Source organism: Homo sapiens, chromosome 11, assembly GCF_000001405.40.
Source record: "Homo sapiens chromosome 11, GRCh38.p14 Primary Assembly".
Lineage (NCBI taxonomy): Eukaryota > Metazoa > Chordata > Mammalia > Primates > Hominidae > Homo > Homo sapiens.
In genome coordinates this window covers 67,229,983-67,253,077 of record NC_000011.10, presented here as the reverse complement: position 1 = coordinate 67,253,077, position 23,095 = coordinate 67,229,983, and the positions used below count along the sequence as shown (strand labels likewise).

Sequence of the window (23,095 nt, the reverse complement as noted above, 5' to 3'; positions counted from 1 at the left end):
TTGCTGTCCATTGCAGTGATTGGCCTGCCAGTCCAGAGTGCTGCCTGGGAGACTGACACTTAAGATGGCCCTGGGTAAACCTCTTGCTAAGCAACAATGGCATGGGACTGCTGCCCTACACTGCCCTCCAGTGATGCTAAGAAGCACTGCCAATAATGCAACTTTTCTTGCCCGCTTCTTCTGGGCCCCTGGAAAGACAGCGGCAGGGCTGCTCACTTACCTGGCAGCCTATTGACGAGCCATGTCAGTTGCTTTTTAGAGATGTTGGTCCAACTGAGGTCAAGGCTGACTGGCTGCCTCTTGATGATGCCACTGAGGGCCTGGGGCACAATGGCCTTACACCTACTCAAGTCAATTTTTGTCCAAAGTCTCTTGTCGCAGCACCTGTGATAGAAGGGAAGAGAACTCGCCTTCATTAACTTGATCAGTGGAGCTCCCATCACAGGCTGCTTATGGCTTCTGGGAAAAGCAGAGTACCTGGAGGCTCGTTCTTCTACAAGTGTACAGGGATCACACCTTATCATTTTTTGCCTCACAGAATAGGCAAAAAATTGCCTTGAACTCTACAACAACTAGACGCTTTGCAAACCTACATGTTGATAGTATATAACTTGACCACTTTACCCTGATTTATTCTGGAGTGTTTGAGAACACAACAGTTGTTAGGGACCCATAGCAAGCAACAGTCTATAGCCCCTTCATCTGTATTAAAATGGCATGGTTCCTGCTGAAGTGTATATAAGGGAGCCTCTTGAAGTTTCTAGACTTCTTACTGTCTAAAGCTAAGAAGGCCTGCTCCGTTCCCTCCCTTGTCAATCACTCGCAGCTGCCTGAAATGCAGGGTGCTACTCAGCACATCCACAATTCACCCTGCCTTCAGCCCATTACTGTATCAGGTCAAAAGAGGCTCTTTATCAGGCTTACAGAGTCCTCTCTCACCCTCAAGTTCTGCCTCAGTGCTATCCTGACATTTTCTAGCCAGGCCAGACCAGAACTGAAAGGGATAGGCCTGGCTTTCCACTGCAGTCTACAAATCTACAGGCCACAAACCACAACATGCTGGCTTCAATTTAATATTTTATAGCCCCTGCCCCCCAGCCTGGTTGGCAGGGGAAGAGAGACAGCACATAACGGGAATCTGATGTGCCTTGCCCTGAAAACCAAGAGGTAGAGCCAAGCAGTCCTATTAGCCCTAGACAGAGAAATATTAAGGAGAATTTAGATACACTATACATTAATTCAGATTTGGGAAATAAACTCATGTTTGCAAAGAATAGGGTCTATTTAGAGACTGAAACAATTTTACCAGTGGCACATGAAGCTTCTATGGCAGAAGCAAGCTGCTGACAATACAGCAGATTTTGCTGCTCTAAACTCGAGCATGCATCAGAGTCCCCTGGAGGAGCGCTTGTTAAAGCAGACTGCTGGGCCCACCCAAGAGGTTCTGATTTAAGAGGCCTATGAGGGTCCTGACAGTTGACATTTCTAAAAAGTTCCTGAGTGAATGCCATTGGTCAGGACACCACACTACTGTAATAGGATGTGTGTGACCCAGATAAAAAGGATATATCCTAGAGTAAATATATACCAGAGTTTAAGGAAAAACCAACAATGCCCAATGGGAAGCTCCTTGTTCATCATCACTAGCAATTTTTTCCCCCAAGTGTCTGTCCAACTTAAGAAGAAATGGTAGCTCTCATTAAGGAAGCTTCAAAACTGGACTCTGCTTGCTGGAAGAGGGAATTCTGATCCAGGTTTGGGGGGATGAGCATTAAAACTGAAGAAAAATGTTAAGCACCTTCAAATTCATCTTGAAAAGCATGCCCACTTCTCTCACTGAATGGAGAGGTAATTGAGTCAGGGGCTTAAGTGAGGTTATCTGTGTTATCAGCACCAGAAGAGTGACTAGAACATCATAGGCTCTCAACCAACATGTGATGAGTTCAGCTGACTTGAGGAGGAAATTTTCAGCCCGCAAGACTCTCAAGTTTTATCACAGACTACAAATCTATCCCGCAAATCAGTCTCCCTCCCCATAACAATGAGACATGGGAAAGTATAGAGCAGGGCCAGGAGGCAAATGGCCAGTTCCCTAATGACATCTGCGGGTACAACAGGCTACATCTTTAAACAGGACCCAAAGTTTGGGAAAAAGGGTCAATTCACTCCTCATAAGACCCCACAGGCTTTCAGATGCCAAGGTGCATGCTGTTCTCATATGGAAAACCTGCCACCTACTCCCATACCCCTAATTCCTGACCCCCTGAATCCCTGCTCACCATTTATACCACGTCTTGCACACTCGCATACATTCACAAAGTTCTCTGCGGCTGAGGTAGCGGAAGACAGACATCCAGACCTCCCGCTGCATCCAGCTTTCGTCTCCATCCTGAGCCCAACTGCCCCGGCCATTCAGCCTGGCTGCACCCCCCTCCTCTGCACTGTCATCTTCCTCCTCCTCCTCCTCCTCTTCCTCCTCCTCTCCCCCCAGCCCCTCCTCATCCCCACGCTGGGGGGTTCGGGCTGGGCAGTGCTGCACTAGCACACGGGGGGAATGGCGAAGGTTGGCAGAGGAGGCCGTGATGGCCTGCAGCTTGGGCACAATGGATGTCCCGTGGAGCTCTTTGGTGGGCCTCTGTAGCGTGACAGTGAGGTACGATCCCCGGATCTTGGCTTTCTCAACTTCAGACAGCTCCTTTTTGCCGCTGGGATTGTTCTCCTTTTCCCGTACCATGGTGCGCTCTGTGGCCTGCAGCCGCAGCAACTGCCGCCGTTTGAAGCGCTCATCGCGGCTGGCACTGTGGTGGTCGCTGGGGCCAGCCCCAGGGGATGACCGAGTCACCATACCCCGGGGGGAAACCGGGTCATGGATGAGCTGCAGCATGGAAGTGGGTGAATGAGGCGGGGGCGTGAGAGGCTCATCGCAGCTCCGCAGGGGCCGCAGGACTTTGGCTTGCACAGCTTCTTCGTCACTCTCTTCCATTTTCCGCTTCTGCAAAACAGGCCCAGAAAAGCAACATCAGTGCTTCCTTTCTTCCAAACCCTCTGAACCGACAGGGTGGACCTCCCTTGCTCTCAGGGGACCAGAGAGAAGAAAGGTCACGTTGGAGAGGGGGTCATTCCCTCAGAGTCGGCCCAGGCTGGTCTCCAACTCCTGGGCTCAAGTGATCCACCTGCCTTGGCCTCCCAAAGTGCTGGAATTATAGGTGTGAGCCACTGCACCTGGCCTGACCATTTTTAATTGCGTCTCTGACTTACCTCTTTCACCCAAGAGACGTATTTCTGTTTCATGGTGGAAAAAGCCCACATATACCATTTGAACTAAGATCCTGAGTCTGACAATGGTAAACACCATTGGCTTCTAGCTCTACCACAGTCTAAGTTTGACTCCACCAGGCTGCGTCTTCCACTCCAACCCCCACGTGAATAATAAAGCAGATAACAAGAACCTCTCTGAGAAACTGGGTTGCTACAGAGAGATTCACTCAGGATTATGGTGAGGAATCCCACAAGAGCCCCCAACTTTATCTGTGGCATTTGTGCTCTCTAGATACTTGTCTTTTCCTGGAGCCCACTATGACTATGCTATGACAAAGCCCAGTAAACATGTTCCACTAGGAACCGTATCAGTAGTTCAGGTTTTTTGCAAGGAGACATTTTATGTCTCTAAGCAACAACCCTGTTCTCTGCTCCTTTTCCTCCTTACATTTTTTTATCATTATGGTTGGAAGAAAATGACCACCTTTTGGGTGCTACCTTTTCCAATGTATTAGAAGGTAATACTAAAACACAGCCATCTGCCAACAACACATCTGCTACAGCAGAGATGCAAACACTCAACATCACTAATGAAGACACATGTAAAGGTCACTAGTGCAAGAACTAAGGAGAACTTTGGCCCTAGTCAACTTCAAAAATCCTTGCCCTCAAAGACAAATAGATTGAAAAATTCAACTATCTTAGTATCCAAGTGGGAAGAAATAAAAAGTAAGAAAATTCCTTTCTGCCCCCTTCCCTGCTCCCGTGCAAGGGTCCTTGAAAGACTGGCACTTGGAAAGCCATCTCCTCCTGTAGGTGTCCACAGCTGGTCTTGCCTTGTCAGCCTGAGTAAGTACAGTCCTTTTGGCCCTTTGACATTATTGGCAACCACTGGTCAGCAACCTCAGCTCCTCTGGGCCAAGGTCATAGCACTGGTCCTCTCTGGGGGAGGGGCTGCCTCCACATGACACATTTGGGCATGTGGGATGGGCAGGGCAGGGCTTTCTGCCAGGCCACAAAAGTGAAGATGACAAAAATGTGAACCTGCTTAACTGGAAGCTCAAGTACACTGCTGCACTCACTGGCTGCCTCAGGCCACTGCCTCTCCTCTAGTTAACATTCCTCAGGAGGGATCATACTCACCTAATTTCTCTCCTCAAATAGCCCAGCCGTGGTTCCTCTCTTTGTAGGGCCCCAGAGTATAAAAGGACCTTAGGAATTTGCAGATCCCAAGTGGAACAACATTTAGTAATACAAAACACAATGCTACAAACTCTAACAAAGAAAATACTAAAAATTAACCAAAGGAAAAACATACCAAACCAAACAAAAATAATCTCCTAGGTCAGAGAAACTGTGTGAACACTAATGCAAAGGCAAACGTGTAGCAATCCCCCACATTTGATGCCTCCTTTCTGTCACAGTGCAAATCTGATAAGGTTCCTTTACCTGGGCTTTCTCCGAGCTGTCCTCCTGGTAGCACTTTGGACATTCCCAGCAATTTGGCAATTCTTCGTTAAGCAACCCCTCTCCGTCCATCTATAGGAAGACAGAGATGTTTTTAAAAGCCTGTCTCTCAAGCTTCCTTTATCCAACAATAACACAGTTGGGAAGAGTTACTCATTTCTCAACAACATTGGTCCATAAAGGGAGAAAAACTGTGAGCAATCCAGCCCCAAATAGCCAATGGTGCTGAACCTGATCTTGACAGTGCGGCACAGGTTCTGATAGCTTGGGTTTAGGGACTAATGCTCTAGTCTCTGTGACTCAGTGTTCTCCACTGTAAAATGTTGGCTGATATTATTACCTTCACTTTCCCTCAGGAACTAATACACAGAGATACAACAATATAATTGCCAGAGATACAACAAAACCCACCTTATAGGGTTGTGGTGAAGATTATTCATTGTGTAAAGAATTTAACAAAGGTATGGCATACAGAAAACCCTTTGTATTAGCCATTATCATCATCATGGAATTAATACCCTATTTCACCAATTCTTTGGGTTTGAGATATGTTAATAGATGTAATATGCACCATTTACATCTTCACCAAGTTATAATTAATCAAACAAACTTTTAAGATTGTAAAGTTGGCCGGGCATGGTGGCTCACGCCTGTAATCCCAGCACTTTGGGAGGCCAAGGTGGGGAAATCACTTGATGCCAGGAGTTCAAGACCAACCTGGCCAACATGGTGAAACCCCAACTCTACTTAACACAAAACTAGCTGGGCATGGTGGTGCATGCCTGTAATCCCAGCTACTCAGGAGGCTGAGGCAGAAGAATTGCTTGAACCCAGAAGATGGAGGCTGCAGTGAGCCAAAATCTCACCACTATACTCCAGCCTGGGCAACAGAGGGAGACCATGTCTTAAAAAAAAAAAAAAAAAAAAAAAGATTGTAATGCTGTTAAAATATCCTAAGAATCAGGCTGGGTGCGGTAGCTCACACCTATAATCCCAGCACTTTTGGAGGCCAAGGCGGGTGAATCACTTGAGGTTAGGAGTTCGAGACCGGCCTGGCCAACACGGTGACACCCCATCTCTACTAAAAACACAAAAATTAGCTGGGCGCAGTGGCACGTGCTTGTAATCCCAACTACTAGGGAAGCTGAGGCAGGAGAATCACTTGAACACCAGAGACAAAGGTTGCAGTGAGACGAGGTCACGCCACTGCACTCTAGCCTAGGCAAAAGGAGCAAGACTCTGTCTCCAAAAAAAAAAAAAAAAAAAAAAAAAAAAAAAAAATATATATATATATATATATATATATATATATATAAAATAATTTATAACATTAAATGAATAAATGTATAATCGTGCCACTGCACTCTAGCCTGGGCAACAACACAAGGCTATGTCTCAAAAACAAAACAAAACAAAAACCCGGTTCTTCATTCAACATATGCTTAATGCCTCCAAATACTGACCTACTATTGTTTCTGTTATAGATTTGCTACTATATAGTATTCAAAAAAACCAAAAATCTATAAAAGGTATACTTTTCACATTTTAACCTTTCTGAAATTGGGCTGCTTCTCATGAATGACAGTGTCTTATTATCACTGTCAGGCGACAGTCATGATTTTAGCTGATACTTTCTAAGAAGGCCAAGGAAACAGTGGTTCTCCACAAAGGCTGCACAATTCGGATCAGTAGGGGAGCTTTTGGAACACAAGGCCCATGCTGGACTCAATCTCTGAGGCTGAGATCTGAATTTATTACTTTTTATTACTTTTTTTTTTTAAAGCTATTTAGCTCTGCACTGAGTCTGATACAGACTCAGCACTCATTAAATGTTATCTGATATTATTATCCTCACTCTCCCTTAGGAACTAATATCCAGAGGTACACTGAAGTATGTATCAGAGATGCCTAAAGGCTTGAGGCATCCCAAAACACACCATGCAGTTCCATTATGGCCTGGGAACTCTACATACCCAATCCAGAGTCCAGATTCTAAGCTCCATGAGGACAGGAACTGGGTCTATTTTGTGTACTGTTCTATCCTCAGGGTCTAACGCAGTGCCTGACACATTGTACATATATGAATCAAGGGCTGATGTTAGACCACTGCATTATGTGACCACAGAGCTGATGGCCTACAGTAGGGATGCTGGCACTCCCATCACAAGTGTCCCATTCTGTTGTGTCACTCACTCCATTAGCTGAGACTTCAGGAACCCCTCATAGCTCTCCTCACCTGGAGGCAGCCAGGATGAACAATCTCATTGCAGATACAGCATTCCATGAGTTTCTTCTCAAAGTCTTGTGTCTCTTCATTCTGATCCACCTCTCCACAGAGGGAACATGTGACTGAGTGAGGCAGTCTGGGCTACAAGAGGACAAAGATAGAATCCAAGAGAACTGACTCAGATCTTTATCATTTCAGTTTCCCTTAAACTGAAGATGGGAGATTTGGGTCCTATAATTCTCTACTAAACACCTGGAAGCATGGAGGCAGGGTGGAGAGAACGGAGGTTTTGGGTAGGAAAAATGACTGGGGAAGAGGAGGACTCAACCACCTGGGCACCAGAGACTAGTTTATTTTCAGTTGGCCTATACTTGGCCTCCCCGGTCCTTTCTAATCTACCTGAAGAGGGGAAAGAAAGCAATGATTTGCCCTTCAAATGCTAATCTCTTGTTTGAAAATTAGGTAAAGCCTAAAGATTAAATCGGATTTTTAGTACTAGATACCTTCTATCTAAACCTGGGGAAAAAAGGTACAAAATAAAGCCAAAAAGAGAGTATAAACCTTTTCTTTCCAACTCTGAAGTCTCTTTAACTCTACACTATATGTATTTCAGTTCCTTTGGCACTGCCACCCCTCCCCAAAATTCTTTACCCAGCAGATCACTCACTGCCAAGCACTGTCGGAGGACACAGGACTGCTTCATGCGTCCAGGCCCCCCAAACTTCTTCATGTCTCTGCAGTAGTGGCAAACACCACACTCTCCTTGCACACAGGCTTTGCATTTTCGACATCGCACTCGTCTCCGTCTGGCTCCTGACACAATCGGGGAGGCAGCAGCTGGCCTCACAGGTGTTAACCGTGGAGCTGGTTTCATAGTGTGAGGCTTCGTAATGGGGATGGTAGGAACCCGCACCTTTGGCCGAGTGGGGAATTTAAGCTGGAAAGAGAAAGCAGTGAGGTCAAATATATCAGGTTGCTTTAAGACTGGATAGGGTAGAAGATTACATGGTAGCATACCTAGCCTGGGGCTTGGCCCACTATGGCCAGATCTGCCCACTGCTTGTTTCTAGAATAAATTTTATTGACACACAACTCATCTTGTGTATGTATTATCAATGGCTGCTTTTTTTTTTTTTTTTTGAGACAGAGTCTCGCTTTGTCACCCAGGCTGGAATACAGTGGCATGATCTCGGCTCACTGCAAGCTCCGCCTCCCGGGTTCCCGCCATTCTCCTGCCTCAGCCTCCCAAGTAGCTGGGACTACAGGTGCCCACCACCATGCCCAGCTAATTTTTTTGTATTTTTTGTAGAGACGGGGTTTCACCATGTTAGCCAGGATGGTCTCAATCTCCTGACCTCGTGATCTGCCCGCCTTGGCATCCCATAGTGCTGGGATTACAGGTGTGAGCCACCACACCCGGCCAATCAATGGCTGCTTTCATGCTACCATGGTAGAACTGAGAAATTGTTGACTGTGTGGTGTACAAAACCTAAAGTATTTACTATCTTGACCTTTACAGAAAAATTTACCAGCCCTTGTCCTAGCCCTTTGGCCTACTAATTCAGCTGCTTCCCTTTCTTTTTGCAGAGCTGTTAAGATTCACCCCTCCCTGAGCTTTCTGTATCAAGTGCCATGTACCGAAGTCACTCCAGGAGCCCTCCAATATTTCCTCATCCTGACTTCTCAGATTATACTCCTAAAGAAGACAGTAAACTCCCTTAAGGTGAAACTAGTCTTGTTCATTTCTTTAGTACTCCAAATTCAAGCATACGAACTGGTAGATAGCAGACACTTCAATAATATTTAAGTGTGGAACACATTTCTTAGCATTTGCATTTACCCTGCTGGTGACCTTTTCAAGGACAAGGACCATGTTTTCTACTACTTTAATTTCTTACCATATCTTAAACACTTTTCTGACACAAAATACTCAACAACCAGAAATGACTGAATTGTTTTAAGGCAGTCACCTGTGGCCAAGCAGAGGCCAAGCAGGACTCCTCCCACTAGGGACGAGGAGGTGATTCTCTAAATATACTGTTCAACTCCATACCTTTATATTCTGCCTAAACACCCCTGGAATGTGATGGCTTTGCAAGTTTCAGCTAGGGAACAACAAACAGAAGCCTCATTTATTTGCCAAATTCACAGCCAGGATCAGAATGCTATCATTTATTTAATACATAACCTTGATAGAGGACAGTATGGGGAAAAAAATTATACAGGATCTAAACTGAAGAGGCATGAAAATTCATAATTGACAATTTATTAGCTGACAGTAATTCCTTTCTTCTTCTTCTTTTTTTTTCTTTGAGACAGTTTCGCTCTTGTCCCCCAGGCTGAAGTGCAATGGTGCGATCTCGGCTCACTGCAACCTCTGCCTCCTGGGTTCAAGTGATTCTCCTGCCCCAGCCTTGCAAGTAGCTGGGATTATAGGCGCATGCCACCACGCCTGGCTTAATTTTTGTATTTTTGGTACAGACGGTGTTTCACCATGTTGGCCAGGCTGGTCTTGAACTCCTGACCTCAGGTGATCCACCTGCCTGGGCCTCCCAAAGTGCTGGGATTACAGGTGTGAGCCACCATGCCCGGCCCCTTTCTTCTCTTTTCCATTCCACACTGCAAAGTCCAAGGTAAGGGGATTTTTGAGAGAATGATCTCACTACGTCAAAGAAAAACTCTGCTCCTTTTAGATATCTATGTAATTATTTTAACTGGCTTTCAATCATATCTGTGAAGATAGCTGAGTAACTGGTCACAAGGATAGAAGCGGATGCACAAATGCACAATTTGGCATCTGAATCTGGAGGGAGGCCTCCCAGTTTGATAGTTCTGTTAAGAGAGGTCACCTCCAAAGATAGCCAATTACCCTGACCTACGAGTCAAAACAGAACTGAATAATGATTTTCTGTCAGTTTGTATTAATGCACCAAAAGCCATCTGCCTCTAGTTGTTCTTGTTTTCCCCAGAATGGTAATGATCAACTAACAAAAGGCTTAAGCAGCCTAAAGATCAAGGAAAATAGTTTCTTACCTTATCCCTTTTTGGCCACTGTACTATAGGAACTCCAGTGAGGGCTAACTTGGGATCGCTGTTGGCAAGCTCCTCCAGCAAAATCTAAGGGTAGGAGGGAAAAGAAGGAAAAATCAGGGCAGGGTGAACAAAGAGCCAACCACCCTGAACAGCATCCAGACTCTGCCTCAGTACCCTTGAGTAGCAAGGGAGGCAGGGTGGCAACTGTCTGTATTTGCCCTTCATATAGAGACTCACTGGAAAACAAATAAATCAAAGGTGAAGGAGAAAACTCAAACTTAGGCTGCTGCAATATTATCAAAACTTTGAGGCTGGGCACAGTGGCTCATGCCTGTGAGAGGTGGGAGGATCACTTGAGCCAGGAGTTTGAGACCAGCCTGGGAAACACAGCAAGACCCATCTCTACTGGGGGCGGATGGTGGTGGTGGGGGAGCAGAAAGGACTTCAAACTCACCTTTGTTCCCAATCCCTTACTTGTGTACTAATTATACTAACACACTGAAACAACTAACTTACTGTGGTGACAAGTGTTACTTCTCATACAGTTCTACATATGACAGTAAAACTTTATTATTGCTTCTTCACTTTTCTACACCAGTTAGTGAATATTATCAGGTAATTGCCTTCATTTCTCAGATGTGAACCAAGTGGCATAAAAATGATTTGCTAATACAGAATTAATGAGATGAATGGTACAGCCTAATGTGCAGATTCAACCCAGGGCTCTTTTCTTCTAAGGCTGATTACAGAAATCTCAATCTCAAATCTCTTTCTTTCTCTCTCTCTCTCACACACACACACACACACACACACATACACACACCCACAGAGTCTGCTATTTGCCTTTATTCCTCTAAATGGGGGAAAGGAACAATCTTAGGGGCAAAAGTTCTCATGGCATTACCAATAAAATTTAAATGACTTACGAACAATGCTACAGTGAGAAAATGCCACTTAAGTGAATCACACTGGTTGACTGTTATTTTGAAACAAATATATTTTTTTTAATTTTTATTTTTTAGATGGAGTCTCACTCTGTTGCTCAGGCTGGAGTGCAGTGGCGCTATCTCGGCTCACTGCAACCTCCGCCTCGCCTCCCGTGTTCAAGCTATTCTCCTGCCTCAGCCTCCTGAGTAGCTGGGATTACAGGCACCTGCCACCATACCCAGCTAATTTTTGTATTTTTAGTAGAGACGGAGTTTCACCATGTTGGCCAGGCTGGTCTCGAACTCCTGACCTCAGGTGATCCGCTTGCCTCGGCCTCCCAAAGTGCTGGGATTACAGGCATGAGCCACTGCACCTGGCCAAATCTTTTCGTTTTAGACAGAAACTCCTGAAACCCAAATCTTCTAGTATAATGGAATCCTTCTTCTTCTGACCTTATGAGCCCTAAAGCAACACCAACAGCAAAATAAATCTGGGAGACAAGTTACATGATTCCTTTTCTGGCTACCCTAGGTATGTATGTACAGGATGGTAACTGTTTCGGCAAACACTAAACTCTGATCCTGGACAGGTTAGCAAGTCTGGGCCATTGCTAATAATTTTTCTCATAATCCTGTGTGCTCTGTCCCGGAGACCAGGACTTTTATGTATTTTCATTCTTAACCTAAGGATCCTGCTCCAAATCCCAAAGTTGGGTCTCAGAAAGACCCTTTCACTCATAGCCAAGAAGCTCCTCTACTAAGATCCCCTTTTGCCAAGTCTCCAGATGCCTCTCACCTTCCCCCAAACTCATTTCATCTGCGGATGTTTTATTTACTTCAAGTTGCTATGGCATCCTTTTCTGTTAGTACCATACAGCGTGGGGGTGAAGAGGCGGGGTGTGGTGCCACGTGGGACAAGGCTCTGGTATGGGCTCCTAATCTCCCTAGGGTGAAAAATTCAGGTCCATTCAAAATGTGTGCTAGGGAGTGCATGGCTCCCCTCCCCCACTTCGCACTGACGAAGAGTAGGACTCTGCCCATTTCCTCTGCTGAAGTGAACTGAGCTGTCCACAAACGGGGACTTTCCACTTTCAGCAAAACAGACTGCACAGTAAGATCTGCGATTGTTCAAGAGTAGAAAAGGAACTTAACTGTTCACCAAAAGCAGTCTAATTCTACCTGCAAGATTTTTGTGGGGAATAGGGAAGGGTAGGCGGAAAACTGTGTCGGTGTGTGTGTGGGGGGTGGCAGCTGTTCACACATACAAGACTCAGTTACTGGGGTATGTGTGGGTGTGGAGGGAAATGCAGATTTCCTTCCAAGCCTTATTTTGCTGGGGCCATTCAACCAAGCACGCCCTGCTTTCATCAAAAAAGGCAGACTCCAGCTGAGGCCCTACAAGAAACCATATAAAGAAGCCACCACCCTTCACTAGAGGGGGTTTGGGATAGGAGAGCGGGGGTGGAGTGCGGGAAAGGCTGACGCCTATCTCGGCTCCAGGCATTCGGGAGAACATTTAAACACAAGCCCACACCCTACAGATCACAGGAAGGGAAAGAGAACAGAAGGTGCCTGGGCAGAGAGGGAAAGGATTCTCAAAAGCCAACCAACCCAATTCAAAAGCACATCCCACCAGGTGAGGGAACAAGTGCAATGACGGCTCAAGCAACACGAAGTAACATAGCATTGTCCTGGACTCGCCCGGCAGGCAGTTTCTCCTGCCTCTTCACTGAGACAAAAGTCCCTATAGTTACACGCACCCCAAACCAGAAAGGGTTTGCCGATCGACCCCCTGACCTTTCGTTTCCCGTCGCTCTGGAGCTGCCGAGGCTCTTGGTGAAGTTTCCCCAGCGTCTTTGTTTTGTTTTCTGTACTGGAAGTTCTCCTGAAGGAGTTAGATATTCTGCCTCTGGGAAAATCCGGATTTACTTGAATATTCTGGAATCTCCCAGAGCACATAGGGCAGGGCAGTCCAGCTCTGACCCTTCAGACTACCCAGAGGGAGCAGCGTGCAGCGCTCTGGGCTCCTTCTCGAGCCCTTCAGCTCAGCCGCGGCTTCCTGTGCCTGCGAACAATGCTGCTGCGTCACCCACATGCAGCTCCCAGAAATGCTTTGCAACGGAAGATGGCAGGAGGGGGAGCCGAGCGAGAGTGAGCGAGCCAGGCAGAGGGCCCAGCCGTTCTGCTGCAGAGCCGGGAGGGGGTGTGTTCAGCAACTGCTTTCTTCCTCGCGATTGGAAGAGGCCCTGCCAGGGAGGAGAGCTCAGCCACAGCCCCCGCCCTGTCTCCCTCCCACCACCACTGCAATAGGAGAACCTAGGGCCAGCCCCCTGAGGGCTCCCGGTGGCAGACTTCTGAAGGCGCCAGCCAAAGGGAAGGCTTTAACTCATTCTGCGGGCTACACTAGGCACCTTGGCCCACATTTGTCCTTGTTTCAGTCCACACCCTTCCCCTCAGGGTCACCTCTCACTGTTACCACTGTTACTGCCAGAGCTCTCTGGCTGACTGCACACACACTTCTCTCTCCCCTCTCAGCAAGTAGAGGGGGTCGCCCAAAGTTCCGCCTCTCTGGATGAACTAGGCACAGGAGCTGAGTTCCTCTTGAGTTATCTTCTCTCTCCGGCACACTGCCTGCTTCACCTGCCCTCGCTGACTTGCTCCCAGCCCACAATCCAGAATCTGCCTATGTGTTCCAAAAAACCTTCAGAAATGGCCCATGTCAGCCAATATTGAGATATTCAATAAAATACGGCTAACATCAACTACATCTAAAACAGATGCCTGCTTCTGATTCTGACAAGGACTCCACCCCCACAGTACAGTACTAGAAATGTCTGCGCAGCAATCCTGCAGCAGTTCCACCGTGACCAAGTCAAACAACTGAGGCACAACACACTTTGCCCTCCTGCCTCTAAACAAGGTGCAGGAAGCCAGGGAACACACATTCTCCCAATTCCAGCAGTCTCCTCTGCCTGTAAGATTATCCTACCCTCAGAATACCAGTATTGTACTCTTGGATTTCCATTTCTATTCAAGTCTGTTTGCCTGTCTCATTCTTGATATTCCCCAGATGAAGCAGCCAGTCCTGCATCCTGTCAAGACACCTCACTGCCTTCTCACAGCCACTCGGACTGACAAGTATTGCTCACACCTCTGCACAACAAACCCTGATCCCCGGATCCCCAGCTGGGATGAAGCTCAGACTGAACACACACTCCTTTCAGTCTACAGGAGGAAAGGAGGGTGCACACTCTGGTTGAGTTTCTAGTGATCCACAGTGTACCAAACATCAGCATGGGAGAACCTGAGTAGGAATCAAATACTTAGCAGAAACAGTTTGGGTCTTTTTTAGAGCCAATGTGATTTTTATGTGACTTTTAGACCCTTACAAATGTATAACTTGCCTTTTTTGCAGATGCTCTGATTTAAGCATCTAGCTCTTAAGCATTCTTATTTATTTCCAGGACAGTTGTTTGAGTGAGTTTCTGGTACAGATTTAGTGGCTAACTAGGCTTTCTAAAGTCTGGAGCTTTGCTGCCAGGGGCTACATATGTTATTTTTATAGTAGTTTACCAGGGGAAGGACAGACTTTTGTGCTCTCGGCTGAGCTTCTCCTGGAAATGCTTATATGGTCATCCTAACCCTAAACTTCTCCCGGACACTGTATCTTAAGACTCAAGACCCACTGCAATCGGCTTATTTTGTTTGAAAGGCTTTCCTTAACAGTGATCTAGCTATTGAGAGGTCTTCTTGGAAAATGCTTATTTTGATCTTCAGTGCTATCTATATTATAGAGATAGTAAAGTATGAATACTTAAGAGAAAACATATTACTTTAAAACAAACGTAAGTTCAAGTTGCAGCAAGTGCAAATTCTAGAGGCCACCAGGAAAGGAAAAAAATCACATCGGGCACTAGGAAACTCACTCCCAGTAAGTTTCCAAATCACAAATTAAACAAGGCCTAACTTTACCCCCTCCTGCTAATTGAGAATAAAAGATAGGCAAAAAAGATAAGAATTACTAAGACCATGACATTACATAATACAAGAATATAAGGAAAATATTTAAAATAATTATATGTAACTTTAAGCATATATGCCTCATAACTGAGTTACATTACTTAAAACTTTCTATTCAGTAAGAATGTATGAATTATTACAAATATCTTGTTAGTAAATATTGCAAATAAAGTTTTATTTGTATAAATAAATATATCCTATAACAGGATATAAATTTTTTTTTTTTTCAGACAGGGTCTCGCTTTGTTGCCCAGGCTAAAGTGCAGTGGTAGATGACAGCTTACTACAGCCTAGACCTCAGCCTCCTGAGTAGCTGGGACTACAGGTGCACAATACCATGCTCAGCTAATTTCTTAATTTTTTTGAAGATGGAGTCTCACTATGTTGCCCAGGCTGGTCTTGAACTCCTGGCCTTAAGTGATCCTCCTGCTTCAGCCTCCCAAAGTGCTGGAATTATAGGCATGAGCTAACACATCTGGCCTAGGTTGCTTTACAAAAAAAAATCTGTAAGCCTGGACCCAGGACAAACAAACAAACAAAAAGCTGAGTTGGTTGGGTAAGGTGGCTCATGCCTGTAATCCTAGCACTTGGGAGGTCGAGGCAGGAGGATTGCTCAAGGCAAGGAGTTCAAGATTCAAGACCAGCCTGGTCAACACAGCAAGACCTCGTTGCTAATAATAATAATAATGATAATAATAATAATAAAGAAAAATTTAAAAACATTTAAAAATCTGGCTTAATGGAATAAGAGCTAACTATACTGGGTCTTCTTCTAGTTCTATTAGTGTCAGAATAACCCCCAAATTATCAACTGAAGAGAATTCCTAATTAGTATTTCTGGAGTTATTTGCAACAATAACCCTTTCTGCTTCAATCTCATCATACTCCTGGGATGGGGCCTAACATAAATTTTTAGATCATAGTTCCAAAATAAAATGTTAAGATTCTTAGATAAGAGTATCAGTAGCCTATTACATCACAAATAACAATTTTCCAATTTATAAATTCAGAGTTTTTACCATTTATATAATGTTGTAGTAATAAATTTATATCCTATAACAGGAAAGTTTATTAGCTGGTGAATTAAGACTGGAACATCTCTTTCCCTCAGGATAGACTCTGCCACTCTCACTCATTTTCTCTGTGCCCTGTGTCATGCCAGGCACCTACAAACCTGGACTGCACTTATTTCCTATTTCTTAGCCCACTTTTATATCTGCTTTGCCACTGAACTCTAAGGCTCTTGAGGGCTAGGACCACGGCATGTCTGCATAGTTTCCTTAACATTCAATCTGATTCCTGACACAGAGCAGGCAGGCATTATTCAGAGCGGTGGAATAAGTGAATTTCATAGATTTGTAACATCTAACTTTTTTCTGGCTGTAATAATGCACTGCTTATTAAGTATTTTACTAATCTTGTTAATTTTAACAACAATCTCACAGATATTTTATAGAGGAGAAAATAGGTTTCCATAAATTTAGTAACTTACCCAAAAGTCACAAAGTATGATTGGCAGGCTTATCAAAATGTTTAGAGAAAACAGGAAAGTCGAAAAGTATTCAACAATATTGAATTTGCTTTATTAAGTGAGCTGGGCCGCCAGATATATTGTTATATAAAAAGCTTCTTTTATATATGCATATATATTAAGAACTACTTTATCACCAAAATAAATACCAACAAAAACAACAATCTGATTAAAAACTCAAATTGTGGCTGGGCGTGGTGGCTCATGCCTATAATCCTAGCACTCTGGGAGGCCTAGACAGGCAGATCACTTGAGGTCAGGAGTCAAGACCAGCCTGGCCAACATGGTAAAACTCCATCTCTACTGAAAATACAAAAATTAGCCAGGCGTGGTGGCACACACCTATAATCCCAGCTACTCAGGAGGCTGAGGCAGGAGAATCACTTGAACCCGACAGGCGGAGGCTGCAGTGAGCCTAGATCACGCCACTGCACTTCGGCCTGGGTGACAGAGCAAGACTTCATCTCAAAAAACAAAAAAACCACAAATTCTTCCAGTTGACTACTACTATCCTATTGTGCCCTGCTATTAGCAGGCTGGGATGTACCCTTTTAGATTCCTCTGCAATGCACAAATACGCATACACTTTTTCTTACATTAATGGGATGGTACTATACATACTGTTACATGTCCTACCTTTTTATTCAACATATATCAAGAATACAACTTTCCAATTTTAGAAATGTTAAGGATATCTTGGCCGGGCGCAGTGGCTCACGCCTGTAATCCCAGCACTTTGGGAGGCCAAGGCAGGTGGATCGCAAGGTCAGGAGTTCAAGACCAGCCTGGCCAACATGGTGAAACCCCGTCTCTACTAAAAATACAAAAATTAGCTGGAGTGGTGGTGCGTGCCTGTAGACCCAGTTACTCAGAGGCTGAGACAGGAGAATCACTTGAACCCAGGAGGTGGAGGCTGCAGTGAGCCGAGATGGCGCCACTGCACCCCAGCCTAGGTGACAGAGCAAGACTCTGTCTCAAAAACAAAACAAAACAAAACAAAACAAAACAAAAAAGCAGCCGGGCGCGGTGTCACGCCTGTAATTCCAGCACTTTGGGAGGCAGAGGCGGGTGGATCATCTGAGGTCAGGAGTTCAAGACCAGCCTGAACAACATGAAGAAGCCCAGTCTCTACTAAAAATACAAAATTAGCCAGGGTGGTGGTGCATGCCTGTAATCCCAGCTACTCGGGAGGCTGAGGCAGGAGAATTGCTTGAACCTGGGAGGTGGAGGTTGTGGTGAGCCAAGACTGCGCCATTGCACTCCAGCCTGGGCAAAAACAGTGAAACTCAGTCTCAAAAAAAAAAAAAAAAAAATTCTCATAGTAGGAAAACCCTATTCTACCTATGTACACTTTCAAGAGTCAACATTACCCACAACCCCTCCCAAACAGAACCTCATACACACGCTGATAGCTTTACCAGTTTACCGGTAAGGCAATACTTCCTTTCTTTTTTCTTTTTTTTTTTTTTTTGAGATGGAGTCTTGCTCTGTCACCCAGGCTGGAGTGCAGTGGTGCCATCTGGGCTCACTGCAAGCTCCGCCTCCCGGGTTCACGCCATTCTCCTGCCTCAGCCTCCCAAGTAGCTGGGAATACAGGCGCCCGCCAAGACACCTGGCTAATTTTTGTATTTTTTCTAGAGACGGGGTTTCACCATGTTAGCAAGGATGGTCTTGATCTCCTGACCTCATGATCCGCCCGCCTCAGCTTCCCAAAGTGCTGGGACTACAGGCATGAGCCACCATGCCCGGCCTACTTTCTTTTTGAGACAAGGTCTCACTCTTTTGCCCAGACTGGAGTGCAGTGGTGAGATCACAGCTCAGTGAAGCCTCAACTTGCCCAGCTCAAGTGATCCTCCCACTTCAGCCTTCCACGTAGCTGGGATCACAAACACACACCACCACACCTGGATAATTTTGTATTTTTGTGGAGGTGAGGTTTCGCCACGTTGCCCAGGCTGGTCTCAAGAGATCTGCCTGCGTCTGCCGCCTAAAGCACTAGGACAAGAGGTGTGAGCCACTGGGCTCAGCCCAAGTCAGTACTTTTTAATGTCCTATTTTTTCACTTAATCCTCTTCCAACTCTATATTCTATGACTTGTTCTTCAACGCCTTAGAACCTAAAAAAAGCCCTTTTATCACAGCACTGAAATGCACTATTTTTCCTTGGAATATTATGAATATCTCATCTACCACTTTTCCCCTCATCTCTTCTACTAATTATTCCTGAAAGCCAGATAGGTTACAACAGCAAACAATTCCTTTCTCTGCAGGAAGGGTAAACTGTACTAGCTTTGTCCCCCACTGAAGTATAGCCATCAGTGCTATAAGCACCAAGTTTTCTAGCACTTGAAAGTCCCCAGCTGTGCAGTGATTCAGCAGCTACCCAATCTAATGCTTTTTTCTTTTGAGTGATGCTTAGATTCTCAAGGTATTCAAGCTCTAAGCTTGCTATATCTTTTCTGAGATTTAGCATAACTGATCAAATATAGGAATAATTAATCTATTTGATCTTAAGTGAAACTACACCTGCAGAGCTGGAATCTAAATCTGTTGTCTTCTGACGTCAGCTACATTTTGACTGTGGTTTTGGGTAAACGAGAAGCTGTGGACAAGTCTCTGGAGGGAGAATTCAAACACTGTCGGCCTGTGTAGTCATCTCACTGGCTACTTGTTCCTCATGCTCTGGCCTCTGCCACTATATCTTAGCCAGTGATGGCAGTCACGTTTTTCAGTGGTCCCTGATAAACACAAGCAAGCTATCTCCGGACACTTTTCATAATGCTAAGCCTCCTCTTTAGATGTCTCTTCTTAACTCCCCTCTCTTCTTGCTGACTCTGCTTAATATTTAACCCAAATCTTTCTACTTTTTCCTTTGGTATACCATTGTACCACCCTTTCACCTCAAATCTCCTTATTTAGCTACTTTAGTTAAACTACTCCAATGGATTTGTTGTTGTTGTTGTTGAGACAGGGTTTCACTTCCATCACCCAGGCTGGAGTGCAATGGCGCAATCTCGGCTCACTGCAACCTTTGCCTCCCAGGTTCAAGGGATTCTCCTGCCTCAGCCTCCTGAGTAGCTGGGATTACAGGTGTCTGCCACCACACCCAGCTAATTTTTGTATTTTTAGTAGAGACGGGGTTTTACCATCTTGGCCAGGCTGATCTTGAACTCCTGACCTCGTGATCTACCTGCCTCGGCCTCCCAAAGTGCTGGGATTACAGGCATGAGACATCGCACTGAGCCTTTTTTTGTATTTTTAGTAGAGATGGGGTTTCACCATGTTGGCCAGGCTGGTCTCGAACTCCTGACCTCAGGTGATCCTCCCACCTTGGCCTCTCAAAGTGCTAGGATTACAGGTGTGAGCCACTGTGCCTGGCCCCCCTAAATTTATAAAATGGCTTAAAAGTAGCTTAAAATAATCTATGTGAGGTTTTCAAAATAACATTACAACTTGTAGATTAGCTTTCTAATATACATACCCATTGTTCCAAACACTGATTTAAAAATAAAATTGCTATTTCCAGCTTTACAATTCTTGGTCTTCACATTAATTGTTACTTAGGAGGAAAGACTTAAAATAATTTCCTCCAGTTTAGATAGCTCAAGGTTGGGTGTGGAGGCTCATGCCCGTAATCCCAGCACTTTGGGAGGCTGAGGCAGGCAGATCACCTGAGGTCAAGAGTTCGAGACCAGCCTGGCCAACATGGTGAAACCCCATCTCTATCAAAAATATAAAAAAATTAGCCAGGCATGGTGGCACGTGTCTGTAATCTCAGCTACTCAGGAGGCTGAGGCACGAGAACTGCTTGAACCCGGGAGGTGGAGGTTGCAGTGAGCCGAGATCTTGCCATTGCACTCCAACCTGAGCGACAGAGTGAGACTCCGTCTCAAATAAATTAATTAATTAATTAAAATTAAAAAAAAAAAAAAAAGCTCAAGTCTGGATTCCTTAAGAAAAATATACAATATGAAGGGGAGCTGGAGGAGGGATAGCATTAGGAGAAATACCTAACATAAATGACGAGTCAATGGGTGCAGCAAACTGACATGGCACATGTATGTCTATGTAATAAACCTGCACGTTGTGCACATGTACCCTAGAACTTAAAGTATAATTAAAAAATAAATAAACATAAAACTTGATAAAGCAATGGGATGAATTATTTTAAAATGATGCTTTTCCCAATGTATTTAAGTCTTGATGCTAGATAAATTTGAATCTAAAGAGGCTAAAGCTACTCAACGTTAACCCAGCATAGAACAATTTCATTTCTCTCAATCTGCTTAGGATGAGACTCCTATCAGTCACTTTTGTCCTGAGTTTTATCTCAAGGTAACTTAAGTTTAATGTAACATTTCTTATATAAATATTTTCTTTGGGTCACTTTATTTTTGGGGTCAGCCTGAAACCTATGTTTAAGACTAAATTTATAAGTCTTCAATGAACACATAAATGTTAGTATTTTCAAAACAGGGACATAACCTCATTCTAGTAATGAAAACACTGAGCAGCAATAACAAACACACATGCATATTAACTTCTCTCTGACTGAACCAGAGATCACCCAAAATTCCTATATTTTCTCCCTCTGAATCTGGAAGCTGACTGCCATAGCTGGATCAGTAGCTGTCATGTAACACATCAAACCCTTACCTTTACATCAGCAATGAGAGCATCTTCATCTTCTATCCCTGTGGGGACACATTTCTTGTGCAGTGGCAGAGACTCCAACTTATCTACAAGGCAGCGAAGGCCTTCAAGCTCAAAATGGGTCAGATGCACTTGCCTGTCCTTTCGGGGAGCACACTGGGGATCCCACACTTGTCCATTGTGGGAGCCCCGGCTACAGTCAGAAGATGAGTCCCCAGCCAAAGTTTTCTTCAGACTTGGAAGACTTCGGCAGGTTTTGCCCAGTCCATCATAATCCAGGTTGACTCCATTCGCTACAGGGCTAGTGAGGACAGAACGCCTGCTGCTCAAGCGTCGGGGTTCTCGATCCACTGCTTCCTCATCCCCATTCCCAGACTCCAACCCATTTAACTCCAAATCTACCAATATGAAGAAAAAATGCAGTAAGAACATTTCACTCTGCCATGTGATCAGCAAGAGAAATAGGTGGCATGATAGGGGCCTTGAGGCTATAAATGACAAAATTACCACATTTAAAAAAATGGTCTATCTTTATTCCAACCCATTTGTCCACTGTTCAAAATCACAGTTAACAGGTAGAAACAGGATCCTGACCTAGGAGGACACCTAGGTAATAGTCAATTGGATTTTTTAAAGTTTGGGTAGGACCTAGTCTTTGAACTGTGTACTAGAAATCAGTTACTTATCAAAGTGGTTGTAAAGTCAGTTTCAAGTTAAAGCTTGAATCTGGGATTATTATTTCATTACCTTTTAAAAGAGAAGACACTAAGAAGCATGTATGTTTAAAAAATAGTTTTAGCCTGGGCAACATAGTGAGACCCCATCTCTACATTAAAAAAATTAGCTGGGTATAGTGATGCATGACTGTGGTCCCAGATACTAGGGAGGGTGAGGTGGGAAGACTGCTTGAGCCTGGGAGGTTGAGGCTGCAGTGAGCTGCGATCATATTACTGCACTCCAGCCTGGGCAAGAGAGTGAGACCCTGTCTCAAAAAAAAACAAACAAAAAAAAACCAAAAAACTTTTTTTTTTTGTCTGAAGTTTTGGTCTTAAAATCAAGCTTTGGAGTTGAAATTCTAACAACATAAGTAACAAAACAAAGTGACTATTTTTGAAAAGGAAGATTTTGATAGTCAAAACACAGTGATAAATGTTCACCAGTCTTTTCTTTTATAATTTAGAAAATGCAAGAAGGCGCAAAGCGGTAAATAAGTCATCCCTTATCCCTCCATCCTACGATAACAACTGAACAGTACAATATACTTTCTTTCCATGCTTTAACAGATGTGTATGATTATTATGTGGGTTTTTTTTTTTTATGTTGTGGTTTGTTTGTTTTGAGACAGGTTCTCACTCTTTTGCCCAGGCTGGAGTGCAGTGATGCAATCATGGCTCACTGCAGCCTCAACCTCCTGGGCTCAAGCAATCCTCCCACAATAGCCTCCCAAACAGCTGGGACCAGAGGCATGTGCCCCAACACTCAGCTAATTTAAAAAATTTTTGTAGACAGGGTCTGGTCATGTTGCCCAGGCTGGTCTCAACCTCTTGGACTTAGGTGTGCCTTCCACCTTGGTTTCCTAAAGTACTGAGATCACAGGCATGAGCCACCATGCCTGGTCTATATGTGTTTTGTTGGTTACTTTTTGAGATGGGGGTGTCACTATGTTGCCTAAGCTGGTCTTGAACTCTTGGACTCAAGTGATCCTCCTGCCTTAGCCTCCCAACTAGCTGGGACTACAGGTGCTCATCACAGTGCCTAGCTCTATTAGATGTATTTTTTTTTTTTTTTGAGACGGAGTCTCGCTCTGTCACCCAGGCTGGAGTGCAGTGGTGCCATCTCAGCTCACTGCAAGCTCCACCTTCTGGGTTCACGCCATTCTTCTGCCTCAGCCTCCCAAATAGCTGGGACTACAGGTGCCTGCCACCACGTCTAGCTAATTTTTTGTATTTTTAGTAGAGACGGGGTTTCACCATGTTAGCCA

At 44.7% G+C, this 23,095-nt stretch overlaps 1 protein-coding gene across 8 annotated transcripts in view, besides 3 other annotated features; it reads right to left on the bottom strand.

Moving 5' to 3' along the window:
* Nucleotides 1–23,095, bottom strand: part of KDM2A (lysine demethylase 2A) — a 138,820-nt gene that overhangs the window by 5,005 nt on the left and 110,720 nt on the right. For 6 of the 8 annotated variants that reach the window (NM_012308.3, XM_017017391.2, XM_017017392.2 and 3 more), the window contains 7 exons: nucleotides 21,118–21,512; nucleotides 9,986–10,069; nucleotides 7,620–7,889; nucleotides 6,962–7,093; nucleotides 4,708–4,797; nucleotides 2,280–2,992; nucleotides 221–384 (listed from right to left, as the gene is read on the bottom strand). In NM_012308.3, the coding sequence (NP_036440.1) occupies nucleotides 221–384; nucleotides 2,280–2,992; nucleotides 4,708–4,797; nucleotides 6,962–7,093; nucleotides 7,620–7,889; nucleotides 9,986–10,069; nucleotides 21,118–21,512 (1,848 nt within the window). Of the gene's footprint in view, nucleotides 1–220; nucleotides 385–2,279; nucleotides 2,993–4,707; nucleotides 4,798–6,961; nucleotides 7,094–7,619; nucleotides 7,890–9,985; nucleotides 10,070–12,708; nucleotides 13,065–21,117; nucleotides 21,513–23,095 lie in introns of those variants that run through there. The other 2 variants (NR_027473.2, NM_001256405.2) reach the window with 2 other exon arrangements.
* Nucleotides 11,957–12,126: an enhancer, noted in NCBI's record as "active region_5075". NCBI's record gives its function as "activates an Ori minimal core promoter by ATAC-STARR-seq in GM12878 lymphoblastoid cells {active_cell/tissue: GM12878}" and the evidence as "EXISTENCE:reporter gene assay evidence [ECO:0000049][PMID:35858748]".
* Nucleotides 12,707–12,786: an enhancer, noted in NCBI's record as "active region_5074". NCBI's record gives its function as "activates an Ori minimal core promoter by ATAC-STARR-seq in GM12878 lymphoblastoid cells {active_cell/tissue: GM12878}" and the evidence as "EXISTENCE:reporter gene assay evidence [ECO:0000049][PMID:35858748]".
* Nucleotides 12,977–13,036: an enhancer, noted in NCBI's record as "active region_5073". NCBI's record gives its function as "activates an Ori minimal core promoter by ATAC-STARR-seq in GM12878 lymphoblastoid cells {active_cell/tissue: GM12878}" and the evidence as "EXISTENCE:reporter gene assay evidence [ECO:0000049][PMID:35858748]".